The sequence below is a fragment of the Homo sapiens genome, chromosome 22, assembly GCF_000001405.40.
Source record: "Homo sapiens chromosome 22, GRCh38.p14 Primary Assembly".
Classification (NCBI taxonomy): Eukaryota; Metazoa; Chordata; class Mammalia; order Primates; family Hominidae; genus Homo; species Homo sapiens.
Genome location: NC_000022.11, coordinates 20,706,054 through 20,723,412, shown reverse-complemented (window position 1 = coordinate 20,723,412; position 17,359 = coordinate 20,706,054). Strand labels below are relative to the sequence as shown.

Genomic DNA, 17,359 nt, shown 5'->3' with positions numbered 1-17,359 from the left:
AATATTTTTTAAGTTTAAAAAAATTTATATCACTATGGCAATACAAATGTATATACATATTTGTTTATACTTTTACAAAAAAAGGGAACAGTAGGCCGGGCGCGGTGGCTCACGCTTGTAATCCCAGCACTTTGGGAAGCCGAGGCGGGTGGATCACGAGGTCAGGAGATCGAGACCATCCTGGCTAACACGGTGAAACCCCGTCTCTACTAAAAATACAAAAAAAGATTAGCCAGGCTTGGTGGGCACCTGTAGTCCCAGCTACTCGGGAGGCTGAGGCAGGAGAATGGCGTGAACCCGGGAGGCGGAGCTTGCAGTGAGCTGAGATTGCACTCCAGCCTGGGAGACAGAGCGAGACTCTGTCTCAAAAAAAAAAAGGAACAGTAAATCAAAAGTTAATAAAAATGGCCAAAGAGGGAGAGATCAGGATGGAACTGACAGATATGTACCATATTTAATAATTTTGACTTTGGAACTCTGTCAGTGTTTACATAATTAAAAAGCAAACTTATATTTAAAAACACTACACATTGAACATTCATAGTTTGTCTTTAGATCCATTTGCCGGGTTAGAATTGGGAAACCCAAAGTGAAGACTTCTGCCTGTGTGGTAAGACCACCCCCGACTCACCCAGGTCAAAAATGTCCATCCAAGGGACACTTCACCAGATCAGTGGCCACAGACTCCAGGAGGCTGCCCAGAAAGGCCAGCTCACCTTTTTAAACCTAGGGCATGGAATTAAAACTGGAGTTTCAAAACTTATGGCTCTAGGAACAAAAAAAATTTTTTTAATTAAAAAGAAAAACTGGAGTTACTACTATGAGTGGCGGAAAATGACCAAGAAGGAAGAGGAGGATAGGTCCTTAGGATGGTGACCACAGTTGTGTATATTAGTCCATTTTCACACTGCTATAAAGAACTTCCTGGCCAGGTGCGGTGGCTCATAACTGTAATTCCAGCACTTTGGGAGGTTGAGGTGGGTGGATCACCTGAGGTGAGGAGTTCAAGACCAGCCTGAACAACATGGCGAAACCCTGTCTCTACTAAAAATACAAAAATTAGCCAGATGTGGTGGTGTGCGCCTGTAATCCCAGCTACTCGGGAGGCTGAGGCAAGAGAATTGCTTGAACCTGGGAGGTGGAGGTTGCAGTGAGCTGAGATTGTACCACTGCACTACAGCCTGGGTGACAGACCGAGACTCTGTCTCAAAAACAAACAAACAAACAAAAAAACTTCCCGAGACTGGGTAATTTATAAAGGAGGCTTAATTGACTCACAGTTCCACGTGGCTGGGGAGGCCTCAGGAAACAGAATCATGGTGGAAGGGGAAGTAGGTCCGTCTTACCTGGCAGCAAGCGAAAGAGAGCAAGTGTGTGTGTAGGAGGAACTGTCAAACATTTATAAAACCATCAGATCTCCTGAGAACTCATTCGCTGTCATGAGATCAACAAGGGGGAACCGTCCCCATGATCCAGTCACCTCCCACCAGGTCTCTTCCTCAACACCTGAGGATTACAATTCAAGATGACATTTGGGTGGGGACACAAAACCTAATCATATCAGTGTGTCAGTTTGTGAAGGAGGTATCTCTGCATGTTTCTGGAACCTGTCTGTCACTTTGGAACATTGTTCTAAACAACCAGCTCACAAGTGAGTTTTTAGTACCCAGCCTGCTTTTTCTCGTACTTGACAACTCCAGAAATTGGTTTGAGAGTTGTGCTTCTTAAACCCATGGGAAGACACAGAGGAGACAAAGGCTGACTGTCGCCCGCTTTGCAACCCTGCCCCCCAGGTCCCAGCCCCCAGCCAGCTGGAACTTGGCCTGGCCACTGGCTGGACTCAACATCAATCCTGGAGAGCTTGTCCACACCACTAGAGCCACCGGGCCTTACCCTTGCCTGGTCTACCAAATGCCGGGAGTCAGCAGCTGCTGACAAGGCCCTCCTCATGGAGAGGGCCGAGCCTGGCTGACAGGGACCTTGCTCTCCTGCAGATGGGCTATGTGCGGGAGTATATTCTGTGGGCAGCGTCTAAATCCCAGCTTCTGGCACACCAGTTCATCTGGAACATGAAGACTAACATTTATCTAGATGAAGAGGGCCACCAGAAAGACCGTGAGTATTTTGTCCTCCCACAGGCCTCACTTACTGTCTTCAGTGCACTGCCAAGCACCTTCTACAGCCCCCAGGGCTCTCGCCAGCCTGCACTGCCCCAGCTCACCGACCCCTCCACTCCCACCCTTTGCTGGGGCACTTCTCACCTTTCAGCACACAGGGGAGCAGGACCCCTCCTTCATGACACCTTTGCTAACTTGCTGTCCGATGCCACCCTGCACTCCCAAGTGCGAGTGAGACCCTTCTGCTCCAGTGGCTGCTTCTGCAGAGTCTCCATGGTCAACACAACTGTGACTGCATGTGAGGAAGGGGCCGTCAGCCCAGGGCAGCGGTTCCCAAATAGCACAGCCTCAGGACCCCTGCACTGTCAGAAATGTTTATTGAGGTCCTCAAAGAGCGCTGTTTAATGTGAGCATTAGCTGTCAGTGTTAACGAGTATTAGAGATTAAGACAGAATTTCAGAAAATGTAAGCCCATTCATTACATGTTAATATAAATAACATCTTTTTGGGAAAATAACTTTCCCCAAAAAACTAAAAAATGAGCCAAAAGAGTGGCATTTCCTTGTAGAAGACGGCTGGATTCTCATTCTCGTTCCACTTCTGCAGTTGATCTGTTGCAGTGTTGTTTCAGTTGAAGTGAATGTAGTTGAAAAAGGAAGTTGTATGTTAGTAGTCTCTCAGGTCATTGTGGAGATTCTTTTTGATACTGCACCACACTTGAGAAGTGGTAGCTTTTGTTTTATTTTTTTAGAGGCAGGGTCCCTCTCCCAGGCAGGAATGCAGTGGCGCAATCACGGCTCACTGCAGCCTTGACCACCTGGGCTTAAGCGATCCTCCTGCCTCATCCTCCCAAGTAGCTGAGACTATAGGTGCACGCCACCACGACTGGCTAATTTTTAATTTTTTGTAGCTCAGCCTAGCTTCTTAATGATTACTTGCAGTCTGGGCATGGTGGCTCATGCTTGTAATCCCAACACTTTGGGAGGCCAAGGCAGGAGGATCGCCAAAAAAAAGGTTAATTGCAGTGTGGCATCTTAAACTTGGCAGTAAACTTCTCATGCTGTGTTTTGTTCAAGTCTGTCTACGTCGCACCTGGACCCACAAAAGCTTTTATAACATCAAACGGTGGGCATTTGTAAAATATAGGCCAGTGAGTTATGCACATCTTTCAAAGGTTGATGCATTTCTTTGTACAGTGTGGAAAAATCATATTTGTTCACATCTGCCAGTCTTACCAGAAAGGGTTTTTTTTTTTTTTTTTTTTTTTTTTGAGACAGAGTCTTGATTAGTCGCCCAGGCTGGAGTGCAGTGGCACGATCTCGGCTCACTGCAAGCTCCGCCTCCCAGGTTCACGCCATTCTCCTGCCTCAGCCTCCCGAGTAGCTGGGACTACAGGCGCCTGCCACCACGCCTGCTAATTTTTTTGTATTTTCAGTAGAGACGGTGTTTCACCATGTTAGCCAGGATGGTCTCAATTTCCTGACCTTGTGGTCCACTCACGTCGGCCTCCCAAAGTGCTGAGATTACAGGCATGAGCCACCACGCCCGGCCCAGAAAGAGTTTTTAAGGGAAGCTGTTGAGCTCACAGCAGCAGATCCAAGTTTTCCAAAAAAATGTTTCAGTTCCTTTGAGTGGAAGATTTATTTTTTGTTCATTTTCAGGAAAACATCTGCCACATCCCTAAGTCTGAATAGCTATATGTTGTCTGTCAGTCATTTCTTCAAGTAAAAACAAAGGTCTGTGAAAAAGGTTAGTCCAGGCTCCAAAATCAGACAAGCTCCAGGTGCTTCTCAGGACAGCGCCTGCCTTAGATGCGGCAAGAGTGCTTCGTGCACATCCCATTTCATCACAAAGGATACTTTAAAAGCCAGATGTGGTGATGCGCACCTGTAGTCCCACCTACTAGCTGTAGTCCCAGCAACTCAGGTGACTGAGACAGGAGGATCTCTTGAGCCCAGGAATTTAAATTCAGCCTGGGATTTGAATAGTGAGAGGCACTATTTAATATAGAGCCCCGCCCACTGTGTGCCTCTATTAAAAAAAAAAAAAGACATGTATTCAGGGTAGAGTTTAATAAGAATTAGTTTTCATTGCTTCACCTGTGACATTCATAAATGACACGGGCTTTTTTCTCCCTGCGTGTGCAGCAGTGAGGATTCTATGCCCTGTGACATTCATAAATGACACGGGCTTTTTTCTTCCTGCGTGTGTAGCGTGTGCAGCAGTGAGGATTCCACGTCCACTTGTGCGCTTGGCCCCTGCCTTGAGCTCCGCTTAGGCACCAGCTTAGCTTCCCAGCAGCGTCAGCTGTGTCAACACAGCAAAAGGGGCACACGGCAGCTGTTATGGTCTCACCAAGCCTGCAGAGCATACTCTGGGCACTGCCAGTCTGGGGCCTGGGAAACAGGGCTGGTATTCCTGAGGGGCCTCTGCCACAGCCACAGAGACTTAAGCCTCTTTGCTTCCTTGGCAGCTGACATCGGCGACCTCCTGGATCAGTTGGTAGAGGAGATCACAGGCTCCTTGTCCGGCCCAGCGAAGGACTTTTACCAGCGGGAGTTTGATTTCTTTAACAAGATCACCAACGTGTCGGCTATCATCAAGTAAGTGCAGTGCTTCAGAAACCACCTTCTGGGATCTCCTTCCAGTCCCTGCAGCTTAACAGAATTGCCTGGGAAGCTTTAAAAATACCCGTGCCTGGCCCCAACCAGATGAATGAGAGTCTCTAGCAGCGGGGCCGCTGGTGGTTCTGATGGACAGCCAGGGTGGGTGGGGAAGCACTGCTTGGGGTGAGCCAGGGCTCTTGAAGGTATGGCAGAATGCACGGCCACGCCAGTTTCAGGAAACACAGCTTAGTTTCATTCCTGAGGTTTGTGGAATTTAGCACATGGCTCCACAATTTGAGGCCACCCTGCCCTCTCCACACTTTGAAGGATCGATCCTCATGGTGTCAGGAAAACCAGACTGCCTTTGCAGGTCCTGTCATCGTTTTCCTAGACCTTCCATTCATGTGGACCTGACACCATCCTTGGATGTTGATGGCTTTGTGCATTCATAAGGGATGAAACCCTGGAGTCATCAATGCTGGGCACGCTGGCTGGGCTGTCTCCAGTGCTTACACTGCTCTGACCTTGGTCACTTTGAGGTCCTTTTCTGGGCTGGGTGCTGAGAATAGCAGTGCTGGCAGCTTCTAACCCACGAGATGAAGGACGGGAGCTAGCGTTTCCTGGGTGGCAGCAGGTGGCAGGCATTATTACCCCCACCACCCCCAGCCACACACCCCCGCACACAGCAGGGGCAGAGCCTGCCAGAAAACAGCCCTTCCGGGGCTGTCGGGGATTCTCCATGAGGAATGCAGGGCAAGAATCGCTGCCAGTGGTGCCTGGCTGCGCTAGGAGCAGCTAGAGCCGGGAAGAGAGGGACAGAGAGGGCAATCCAGGCAGGAGGGGCCCTGGGCTGTCCCCCAGCAGCCAGTTCCTCCAGGAGACAAAGCAAGAATTTCTTTCCTGTTTCTCAGGCCCTACCCTAAAGGCGACGAGAGAAAGAAGGCTTGTCTGTCGGCCCTGTCTGAAGTGAAGGTGCAGCCGGGTGAGCAGGTGGCTTCTGGAGGCTCAGACCAACCTCTTCCTGCAGGCGGGCGGCGGGGCGTGAAGGCTGCTGCCCTCTCCAGGCACTGCAGGATGTGGACACAGTGGCTTGGCCAGCCCCACACCTGCTTGGGCCCACGGTGCCTGGTGCCCCAGGACCCCAGCCCCTCCCCAGAATCTGCCGCTAGTGAGCGGGAGCTGCTCGTCAGTGGGTGCCCTTCATCTTCCTTGCTGCCTGCTGTTTTTCTGGAGGCTGACAGTGACCTCAGTAGCTGTTACTCTAGAAGAGGGTTCCTAGGCTCCAGCATTACAGGAGCAGGTCACACAGACGAGGGGATGGCGGGCCCAGTGTGGGACGGCTCAGGTGTGCTGGGACCCATCAGCACCACCCCCCCACCGCCTCCATGGGAAGTCGCTCCTGGGTGCCTGTGGCTGTGGCCACATGGGAATTCAAGCTGAGCTTTTCAAGAGAAGATGGAAATCCAGACTTCACTGGGCAGCTCTCTCTCCATTTCTTTTTTTGTTGTTGTTTTTTTGAGATGGAGTTTCGCTGTGTCGCCTCAGCCTCCCGAGTAGCTGGGACTGCAGGCACCCGCCACCACACCCGGCTAATTTTTTTGTATTTTTAGTGGAGTCAGAGTTTCACCGTGTTAGCCAGGATGGCCTCAATCTCCTGACCTTGTGATCTGCCCGCCTCGGCCTCCCAAAGTGCTAGGATTACAGGCATGAGCCACTGTGCCCGGCCTCTCTCTGCATTTCTAACTATTGGCACAAACTTGTCTTCCAAACTCTGTCCTGTGCAGATGTTCACAGCGGCTGGTCTCAGCTGTGGAGTGCCCTGCAGGACCCCGGTTTAACCATTTCTTCCCAACACATTGTGTTGAGCTCACACAACAGCACGGCTTCCCAGAGAGGGCAGGACATGTATGCAGGGCCTCTGTTCCCGCATCGGGAAGGCCACAACTGCTGGGGAGGGGCAAAAAGAGCTGGAAGCATTGTACTGCAGGGGGCATGCACAGAAGTCCCCAGCCCCTGGCTCTAGATTGTGTTGGCTGAGTCTTGCCCCAGAGGTCAGGGAAGCCAGCAGGGCTCTAGCAGGAGAGCACAGAGGGGCCTGAGTGTGAGCCACAGCCTGGAGCAGGAAGAAGGGCAGGTGAGGAAGAGGAGGAGATGGCATGCCCCCCTCTCCCTGTACCCCACAGCAAGGCCAAGCTTGGCTCCCCTCAAAGCCCACCTCTCAGGGCTCAAGGAGCACACATCCCCCTTGGGGACTGGCAGTTCCTTGGCCAGAAACAGGCTTTCCCTTGTCCTCTTATTTCACACATTTACTGAGCACTCACTGAGAAAGGGGAGCCTGGGCCGGGTGCGGTGGCTCATGCCTGTAATCCCAGCACTTTGGGAGGCCAAGGCAGGTGGATCACCTGAGGTCAGGAGATCAAGACCATCCTGGCTAACACGGTGAAACCCCGTCTCTACCAAAAATACAAAAAATCAGCCGGGTGTGGTGGCGGGCGCCTGTAGTCCCAGCTACTCGGGAGGCTGAGGCAGGAGAATGGCGTGAACCCGGGAGGCAGAGCTTGCAGTAAGCCAAGATTGCGCCACTGCGCTCCAGCCTGGATGACAGTGCAAGACTTGGTCTCAAAAAAAAAAAACTAACCAGGCATGGTGGCGCGTGCCTGTAATCCCAGCTACTTGGGAGGCTGAGAACAAGAATCACTTGAACCCAGGAGGTGGAGGTTGCAGTGAGCCGAGATTGCACCACTGCACTCCAGCCTGGGTGACAGAGTGAGACTCTATCTCAAAAAAGCAAAAACAAGAAAAGAAAAGGCATGACATTAGGTATTGTAGCTGTTAAAAAGATGAGTAAGACATGGTCCCTGAGCTGAAGAAGCTTGAACTCACAGAGATATAAAATAAACATAAAGAAACAATGTTGGCCGGGCGCGGTGGCTCATGCCTTAATCCCAGCACTTTGGGAGGCCAAGGCGGGTGGATCACCTCAGGTAAGGAGTTCCAGACCAGCCTGGCCAACTTGGTGAAACCCCGTCTCAACTAAAAGTACACAAATTAGCCAGGCGCGGTGGCAGGCGCCTGTAATTCCAGCTACTCGGGAGGCTGAGGCAGGAGAATCGCTTGAACCCGGGAGGCGTAGGTTGCAGTGAGCTGAGACCGAGCCACTGCACTCCAGCCTGGGCGACAGAGTAGGACTCCGTCTCAAAAAGAAAAAAAGAAACGTCTTAGACAAAAGTCCTAAAGGCTGGGAGAACCAAGGACAGTTCATGGACATAGTGACATTTAAGTAAGCCTTTTGAGAGAGTAGTATTCAAATGGGTAAGGAAGGCCAGGCGCAGTGGCTCACACCTGTAATCCCAGCACTTGGGAGGCCAAGACAGGTGGATCACTTGAGGTCAGGAGTTTGAGACCAGCCTGGCCAACATGGTGAAACCCCATCTCTACTAAAAATACAAAAATTAGCCAGGCATGGTGACAGGCGCCTATAATCCCAGCTACTCAGGAGGCTGAGGCAGAAGAATTGCTTGAACCTGGGAGGCGGAGGTTGCAGTGAGCCAAGATCGCACCACTGCACTCCAGCCTGGGTGACAGAGTGAGACTCTATCCAAAAAAAAAAAAAAGGACTCCAAGAATGGAGGGCTGTTCAGAGGGTTGCTCAGGCAGGTGGAGGCAGGACAGGCCTCACACGCACCCCCAGAAGCAGTAGGGCTGTATCCGTGAGGATGGGGCTCAGTGCTCCTCCAGGAAGAGCATTTCCCAGAAGGTGCAGACTTATTTGGTTGATGGCTGGAAGAGTCGAAGAGTCAAGGAGGACGGACCCTTAGCGGCCATGGAATAATAAGTTAGTGGTGCCCTGGACAAGGACCAGAGGCCCCTCCACAGGGGCGGGGTGTGCCTGCAGGGTGGACACGCATGTAACATCCGTGTTGGAAACTGACTCTGGCTCACCTGTGGTGACACATGCACTCCCTGTGACTGCCTCTGTCCCTGCACAGGCTGCTACCTGCCCAGCAACCCTGAGGCCATTGTGCTGGACATCGACTACAAGTCTGGGACCCCGATGCAGAGGTGGGCGCCTCACCCTACCCATCCCCCACTTCCACGCGTCCGCGTGCGAAGTTTTTCTCGGCTGCATCATGGGTGCCACATTCTTTTTGTTGTTTTCAGTGCTGCAAAAGCCCCATATCTGGCCAAGTTCAAGGTGAAGCGATGTGGAGTTAGTGAACTTGAAAAAGAAGGTCAGTAAAGAACCCTGATTTTGTTTGGGAGCTCAGTGCTTTTCCTTGCTAATGCCAGTTTCTTCTGGCATGTGTTAAATTTAGTATAGCTCTCCATAAAAGATGATGTCTGTCCATCTGTCTGCCCTCACTCAGTCAGATCCCTCATTGGGGGATGGCAGGGAGCTCAAATGCACTGACAGATGTGCCACCCCAGAGGTCTGTCTGCCGTGAGTCAGCTGGCATGCTCCAGCAGGCTCCTTCCTGAGGCTGAGGGGCCCGGGGCTGTTGGGGGGTGTTAGTTTCCCAGGGCTACCGTACGGACGATCTCAGTTCTGGAGGCTGGAGTCCATCATCAGGGCCGTGCCCCCTCTGAAGGCTCTGGGCAGGTCACACCTTGCCTCCTCAGCTTCTGGTGGTGTTGCCAGCAGTCCTGGCACTCCTTGGCCTGCAGATGCTCCACTCCCATCTCCGCCTCCCTCTTCACATGATGATCTCCCTTGAAGGACATCAGTCATTGGATTAGGGACTGTCCTAATCCACTGTGACCTTGTCTTAACCTAATTACATCTGCAAAGACCCTGTTTCCAAATAAGGACACATTTTAAGGTTTGGGGTGAACATGAATTTTAGGGAGACACTCTTCAACCCAGTACAGACGGTGTGGCCAGCTGTGGAGAGGGGGCTGCCACCCCTTGCAGGGACCTGCCTCCCATGGCCATGTCTGCACGCTGGCCCCGAGCCCTCCCAGGACCCCAGTGTACAGACACATTCCTCCTGCCCCCTAGCTCACAGCACCCAACACTGACCCAGGCACACCTGGGTCTTCACTGCAGATGAAATGGGGCTCTGTTTTTAGTTCCATTTAAGCCTAAATGTTCTTAGACTCCAACCCTGGATTCCACCTGCTGTTCCAAGGCTTTCCTTGGGCCCTGCTGGGCTCCTCCTTGGCCTCCTTGGGGTTTTGAAGAAGTGATCCCCAAGATTGCTGGGGTTCCTTTCAGGCATGTGAGAGGACTCATCCCTGGCCCCCTCAGAGGGCTTCTCACTGCCTACAGGCTAACAGCGGCCTCTCTCCCTGCGGGCAGGTCTGCGGTGCCGCTCAGACTCCGAGGATGAGTGCAGCACGCAGGAGGCCGACGGCCAGAAGATCTCCTGGCAGGCAGCCATCTTCAAGGTGGGAGACGACTGCCGGCAGGTAAGCAGGGTCAGGCCTCGAGTAGGCTTGGGGACTGGGCTTGCTGCTCCCCAAGGCTCCAGGCCCGCCAGAGTCCAATCTCATATGCAGAAATGTGAATCTTTTCCTTCTCTTATATGGTTCAGGTGCCACGGGGTAAATTAGGGCTTCTGCAAAACCCAGAGGCCTCTCCTTCCAGCCCCTTTCCCACTGTCCCCGCCATGCCAGTGCCCACCTGAGGGAACTGTCCAGGGGTTGGGTGCCTTATCTCACACACCCCACCAGACAGCTCAGCCTCATGCTCAGCCCAGGGCCTGGTGGTCCCAGCAGCCTGAGTCCAGCCCCCGGTGGTCAGAAAGGAAGGCCTTCCAGACTCTTGCTCGGCTGTGGTCTCCCCACCTCACTCCATCTCTGGGTGCTTGGCTTTTGCCCTGCATGAGCCAGAAGAGCTGCTGGGGTGCAAGGACGCCAACTGACCGCATCCTGCGCCTCCCGGCTTCCCAGGACATGCTGGCCCTGCAGATCATCGACCTCTTCAAGAACATCTTCCAGCTGGTCGGCCTGGACCTCTTTGTTTTTCCCTACCGCGTGGTGGCCACTGCCCCTGGGGTAAGTTCCCTGAGTGGAGCCAGTAGGGCAGCCCTGGGCACCTCGCACCCAGCGGGCCTCAGAACTGGCCTTTCCTCCTAGTGCGGGGTGATCGAGTGCATCCCCGACTGCACCTCCCGGGACCAGCTGGGCCGCCAGACAGACTTCGGCATGTACGACTACTTCACACGCCAGTACGGGGATGAGTCCACTCTGGCCTTCCAGCAGGTAGCCAGGGTGGCCACAGGCCGGGGGAGGTCGTGTGTGCTCCACCCCACCCCAGCCACCCATACCCAGCCTCCACCCACACCCTGCTCTCCTCAGTCATCCTTTGTTAAGGGTTAAAACCAGGGCACCTGGGCCGGGCACGGTGGCTCACACCTGTAATCCTAGCACTTTGGGAGGCCGAGGCGGGCAGATCACGAGGTCAAGAGATCAAAACCATCCTGGCCAAAATGGTGAACCCTGTCTCTACTAAAAATACAAAAATTAGCTGGGCATAGTGGCACGCGCCTGCAGTCCCAGCTACTCAGGAGGCTGAGGCAGGAGAATCGCTTGAACCCAGGAGGCAGAGGTTGCTGTGAGCCAAGATTGCGCCACTGCACTCCAGCCTGGGCAACAGAGTGAGACTCCATCTCAAAAAAAAAAAAACACAAAAAAACCAGGGCACCTGGCCGGGCGCAGTGCTCACGCCTGTAATGCCAGCACTTTGGGAGGCCAAGATGGGCAGATCATGAGGTCAAGAGATCGAGACCATCCTGACCAACATGGTGAAACCCCATCTCTACTAAAAGTAAAAAAATTAACTGGGCATGGTGGTGGGCACCTGTAGTCCCAGCTACTCGGGAGGCTGAGGCAGGAGAATCTCTTGAACCCAGGAGGCAGAGGTTGCAGTGAGCCAAGATCATGCCACTGCACTCCAGCCTGGCGACAGAGCGAGACTCCATTTAAAAAAAAAACACCAGGGCATCTGTAAGCCACTTTGGGAGTCAAAAGAATGTAGGGCTGGGTTGGACTCCTTAGAAGAAAGTTAAGTTCTGAGTGTGGGAGGAAGTGCCTGCACGCCCACTTCCACAGAGAGCCCCTGTCACTCCTGCTACCGAAGACTGGCTTGCTGATTCGGGCTCTGCTTCCACAGTGGGGGTACAGAGCCAGGGAGAGTGCCCACAGGCCCAGGGATCCTGGGTGTGGGACCAGGGAGAATGCCCACAGGCCCCAGGGCCTTTTTGAGCCCAGGGCGCTCTCTGCACAGGCCCGCTACAACTTCATCCGAAGCATGGCCGCCTACAGCCTCCTGCTGTTCCTGCTGCAGATCAAGGACAGACACAACGGCAACATTATGCTGGACAAGAAGGGTCATATCATCCACATCGGTCAGCCAGCCACAGCGCCACCCTCCTCTCCCTTCACCCCTGGCACCCAGGGGTGGATAGGGATCCCCACCCCACAGAGAGGAGAATGCCCAGGACCACCCTGCCAGGAGTGTCAGGGTCCAGCTCTGAGGTCCGAACTGTCGGCCACCAAGCTGTTCTGCTGTAGAGGGTGCCTGGCCCCGGCCCCAGGGAGCTAGGGCGAGAGCCGCCATTGCTCTGAGTCAGAAGCTGGAGCTGGGCGGAGTGGGGCTGGTCCAGGTTCAGTGCCCCAGCTTGGCTCCTTCCTCCACTTCCTCCCTTCTCTTTCTCTGCCTGCTGCCCCACCACCCACCCCATCACTGTCTCCAAGAAAACACAACCTGCCTGTTGGGGGTGGAGGGGGTGCTCCTGTTGCAGTCCTTTTCCACTCCTCAAAACAGACCACTTGTCCTTGCCCGCCCTGGCTCCTACCCAGTCACAGGCAGCTCTTTGGGGTTTTGCAGACTTTGGCTTCATGTTTGAAAGCTCGCCGGGCGGCAATCTCGGCTGGGAACCCGACATCAAGCTGACGGATGAGATGGTGATGATCATGGGGGGCAAGATGGAGGCCACACCCTTCAAGTGGTTCATGGAGATGTGTGTCCGAGGCTACCTGGCTGTGCGGTGAGCCTGGGTGAGGGCCAGGGTGGAGGCGGAGGGGGTGTGTGGAACGTTCTGAGATCCCCTTTAGGATGAAGGGAATCCGGTTCCAGAGAGTGAGGTAGGTGCTAGCAGCCACCTGCTGACCTACACCTGTCCTTTGGTCACCTCTGTCTGCCCACCTGTGCCAGTAAATTCTTGCTCTGGACATCTAATTCCAACCACCTTCCCCACGATCCTGCCCACGCCTTCAGCCATGGGCTCTCCCTTTCTGGGCATCCCATCCACCCTGTCACCAAAGCCTGAGCACCTGCCACCCCACAGGCTACGTGCCAAAGATGGGCTTTGTCCCAGTTTCATATACAGGTCACTTGGCCAAGGCCACAGTCCAACCTGGGTTCATCCCCACTGCCCTGCAGAGAAAGGCAGGTCAGCGTGTCTGCATCCCACCCAAGTGCAGAAGCCATGGCCGGCAGCCTTATGTGGGGGACAGGGCAGGACACTCAGCCTGTCCAGAGTGCGTGTGGGCAGCCCTTGCCTGGGCGGTATGGGTTACCAAGTGCAGCAGATCGAAAGTTGCCTCGGGGATGTGCAAGATGTGGCAGGCGAGGTGGGTGGCAGGAGCCCACACCTGAGGCTGTTGGCATCAGCCAGTCCACAGGACTACAGGCAGGGCCACCACCTAGGCTGGCCTCAGCCCACCGCTCCCTCCTATCTCTCCCCAGGCCCTACATGGACGCGGTCGTCTCCCTGGTCACTCTCATGTTGGACACGGGCCTGCCCTGTTTTCGCGGCCAGACAATCAAGCTCTTGAAGTAGGTTCCTTGGTGGACACGCAGGCCATCTGGGGGACAGTTGTCCATTAGCTGAGGCTCCATCCAAGATAGGTACCTTTCATGTAATTGTCACTGTGGTTGTCATCTCCTTGGAACCTCAGAGCAGACAGGGTTCTTGGGTGAGGCTCTGCCCCTAGACCACAACTGTGAGGGGCCCCTGCTTGTGCCGGCCACACCAGAGACCCACCCAGGGGCCTCTTTATGTCAAGGATGCTACGCCCAACCCACCTCCACCCTAAGGTCTGGGGCTGCAGTAGCTTAGCTCCCCAATGCTTAGTCCCCTAATGCCATGGGGCCACTCAGGTGATGCTGGGAAGGGGACAGGGCCCATGATAGGCCAGGCGTGGCCTTCACAGCACCCCATCTTCCAACATGTGGACCCCAAAGGTACATTTCCAGGGCGTGGCTCTCAGCTGAAGTCCGTCCCCATGGAAGACCCTCCTCCCACTGGGCCAGGGAGCCAGCACGGCCCTGCCCATGGCAGCCCTGACACAGCCTCTCCCCCAGGCACAGGTTTAGCCCCAACATGACTGAGCGCGAGGCTGCAAATTTCATCATGAAGGTCATCCAGAGCTGCTTCCTCAGCAACAGGTGAGTGCCCCGCCCCCCTGCCTTCTCCCACTGCCTCGGTGGCCACTGGGCACCTGCAGGGCCTTGCCTGCACCAGGCGATGAGGATTCTGCTGTCCCCAAGCCGCCCCTCTCATGAAGACCCAAGTCTTGACAGGAGCTCTTGAGGAGCAGTGGGGTGCTGGTTTAGGGGGCTGTGGTGTGCCGAGGGGAACACTTGGCAGAGGCCGGGCCCACCTGGGCAGGGCTCGTGAGGCCGAAGGAGCAATAGGGACACAAGGCCAGGAGTATTAGAACTGAGTGTGGTGTCAGGCCTCCCTCCTCCCAGGAGGGCTGAGGAGTCAGAGCCCACTCCTTCCCTGCGCCTGCCTCGGGCTGCTTCGTGGGCAGTGACTGGAGGTGCAGGCCGGGCTGCTGGTCACTACTGTGGTGGGAGGAGATGGGTGCAGGGGGCCCTGGGGAGGGCTGGCTCAGGGTCTGAAGGCAGAGCACCGGGCTGACAGGCTCCCTGCTGTGGGAGTCAGAGGTGGCTTTGAGGGGTCCGGCCTGAACAAAGGGAGGATGGCGATCCCAGCAAGTGAGCCATCCCCGAAGGGGGCAGCACTTAAACATGTGGGGTTGGTAAGGCCCTGAGGGGCATGTGGGAGCCCAAGGCTGTGCCATGGGACAGACCACATTCACAGACTAGGAGGAGGGGCCCAGGTGTGGCCATCTGCATGGGGAACTGCCGGAGGAGCGTGAGAGGAAGCTGAGACCTGCCCCCAGGTGGCGCCCGGGTCCGGCACCCTAACAAGGGCACTGTGGAGGCTGGGCACGGAAGGAGCTCTTGCTGATAGGAAGCAGAGAAGCCAGGCGGCCAGGACCTCAAGAGGGGCTGGGGCAGGGCGAGAAGGGGCTCTCCAGAGGTGCGAGGAGAGCGTACAGACCCCTTGGAGGCATCTGGCCAGGACGAGCCAAGGGGCCCGAGTCCCATGGGGCAGAGCAGTGGCTCCCACGGATGGAAGCGGTTTGGCTGAGGAGCATGAGGTGGCCTCGGAGTCCCCCGGGTTGGAGCAGGAGATGTGGTCACTGGGTGGGGGAGGGCACGCCTGGGACATTTGTACCTTCAGGTGCTGGGCAGCCATAAGGGGCTGATTGGACAGGTAGGGCTCCCTGTGGGGAGGGACCCCAGACCCTGCTGGCTCCTCGAATCTCCCTTCACTCTTCCTTGGCCTTTCAGGAGCCGGACCTACGACATGATCCAGTACTATCAGAATGACATCCCCTACTGAGGAGGGGACCTTCGAGGGCCTCTGCCCCATGTGCCCTCAAAGCTGTCCCACAATCATGGAGCCCTGCGACCTCCCTGCCCTGCCGCCACATGCAGTGGAGGAGAGGCCTGTGGCCCAAAGAACCTGGTAGCGCCTCCTGGGGCAGCACGTGGGTGGCGCAGCCTTGGTAACGCCATGGACTGCAGCGACAATCAATGGATGGTGCTGTCTATGCACAGGTGTGAGTCCTCTGTTTGCACTGGACATATTCCCTACCTGTCTTATTTCATAGGTACATGAAGTATTGTGTATAAAAAAAGAGATAAGATTTAACCAACATCAACAAAATAAAAACCCAAAATAGTGCTGTGTTGGAATCTGTGAGGTTTTGTGTCAAGTCCTAAGTCCACCTTCAGCCAAAGGGCAGTTCCTGGATTTGCCCCTAGAGAGGGGGGCCCAGTGTTGGCTGCACTCATAGGCTGGGGCCCAGGAGCACGGGTTGTGGCTTAACAAACATGAGATTCCCACAATCTCACCACGGCATAGGTGCACCAAAACACACATTGTGTTTGTCCTGACTGCTGTCTGCCCGCTCCAAAACTGTCTCCCTCAGGGCTGCCGTGGGGGCCTGTCTGTGGCTCTCCGCAGCATCTTCCCACTGCTCTAGTCTTTCCCTCTTGCTCATTTTGAAGTGCTGTGCTCTGGAACTCCAAAATCTTTGTGTGACTAGACCCAGCAAGCATCTACTCCCACCCACCGAGGCCCTGCATCTGAAGCAGATAGGAATAAAGACCTGAAACAAAAGAGAAACTCCAAAAGATCAGCTAAACAGCAGCAGGTAAGAAGAGAAAATCAGTGATCAGAATAGTGAAATGACCAAACATGCAGTGTGAAGGAAAGGAAAGCCAAGCGGGGTGGCTCCTAATCCCAGCACTTCAGCAGGCCAAAGCAGGAGGATTGCTTGAGTCCAGGAGTTCAACACCAGCATAAGCAACACGGGAAGACCCTGTCTCTACAAAAAAATTTAAAATTAGCCACATGGTGGTGCATGCCTGTAGTCCCAGCTACTCAGGAGGGTAAGAAAGATAGGATCACTGGAGCCGAAGAGCAAGACTCCAGTGAGCTATGATGGTACCGCTGCAGTCCAGCCTGGGTAACAGGGTCAAAAAAAAAAAAAAAAAAAGTTGAATGAAAAGCTCCAGTCAACTTTTTCTTTTTTTTTTAGACGGAGTCTCACTCTGTCGCCCAGGCTGGAGTGCAGTGGCGTGATCTCTGCTCACTGCAACCTCTCTCCCAGGTTCAAGCAATTCTCCTACCTCAGCCTCCTAAGTAGCTGGGATTTCAGCTGCACGCCACCACACCCAGCTAATTAATTTTTGTACTTTTAGAAGAGAAGGGGTTTCGTCATGTTGGCCAGGCTGATCTTGAACTCCTGGCTTCAGGTGATCTGCTCGCCTCGGCCTCCCAAAGTGCTGAGATTGGAGCCACCGTGCCCGGCCCCAATCAATTTCTAATGGGATTTCCAGAGTTGAAAAAGACAAATATTCAGCTTTAGGAAGCACAGTTGAGTCCTGAGCAGTACAAATAAAAATATAGGCTGGGCACAGTGGCTCACATGTGTAATCCCAGCACTTTCGGAGGCTGAGGTGGGTGGATTGCTGGAGTCCAGCAGTTTGAAAACAGCCTGAGCAACATGGCAAGACCCCATCTCTACAAAAAATACAACAATTATCCGGGCATGGTGGCACAAGCCCGTAGTCCCAGCTACTCAGGAAGCTGAGGTGGATCGCTTGAGCCCGGGAGGTGGAGGTTGCAGTGAGCCAAGATCACACCATTGCACTCCACACTGAATGACAGAGTGAGACTGTCTTAATAAAAAATATGAGTCAGCGTATAAGTTAAAAGGAGTTTTAAAAGATACTAATCCAAAAGAAGGCAGAAAAGGAGAAACATAATAGACTTACCAGCCCAATTTAAAAGTCAGGGATTATAAACATGAATTGAAGAAGTGAGA

General features: G+C 54.1%; 1 protein-coding gene across 6 annotated transcripts in view; it reads left to right on the top strand.

Moving 5' to 3' along the window:
- PI4KA (phosphatidylinositol 4-kinase alpha) overlaps positions 1-15,722 on the top strand; it is a 151,121-nt gene extending 135,399 nt beyond the window's left edge. For 4 of the 6 annotated variants that reach the window (NM_001362863.2, NM_001362862.2, NM_058004.4 and 1 more), the window contains 13 exons: positions 1,995-2,115; positions 4,591-4,720; positions 5,635-5,705; positions 8,713-8,785; positions 8,885-8,955; positions 10,023-10,132; positions 10,616-10,720; positions 10,802-10,927; positions 11,952-12,072; positions 12,555-12,714; positions 13,416-13,505; positions 14,034-14,117; positions 15,315-15,722. In NM_001362863.2, the coding sequence (NP_001349792.1) occupies positions 1,995-2,115; positions 4,591-4,720; positions 5,635-5,705; positions 8,713-8,785; positions 8,885-8,955; positions 10,023-10,132; positions 10,616-10,720; positions 10,802-10,927; positions 11,952-12,072; positions 12,555-12,714; positions 13,416-13,505; positions 14,034-14,117; positions 15,315-15,366 (1,314 nt within the window). In that variant the 3' untranslated portion in view covers positions 15,367-15,722. Of the gene's footprint in view, positions 1-1,994; positions 2,116-4,590; positions 4,721-5,634; positions 5,706-8,712; positions 8,786-8,884; positions 8,956-10,022; positions 10,133-10,615; positions 10,721-10,801; positions 10,928-11,951; positions 12,073-12,554; positions 12,715-13,415; positions 13,506-14,033; positions 14,118-15,314 lie in introns of those variants that run through there. The other 2 variants (XM_005261635.2, XM_047441408.1) reach the window with 2 other exon arrangements.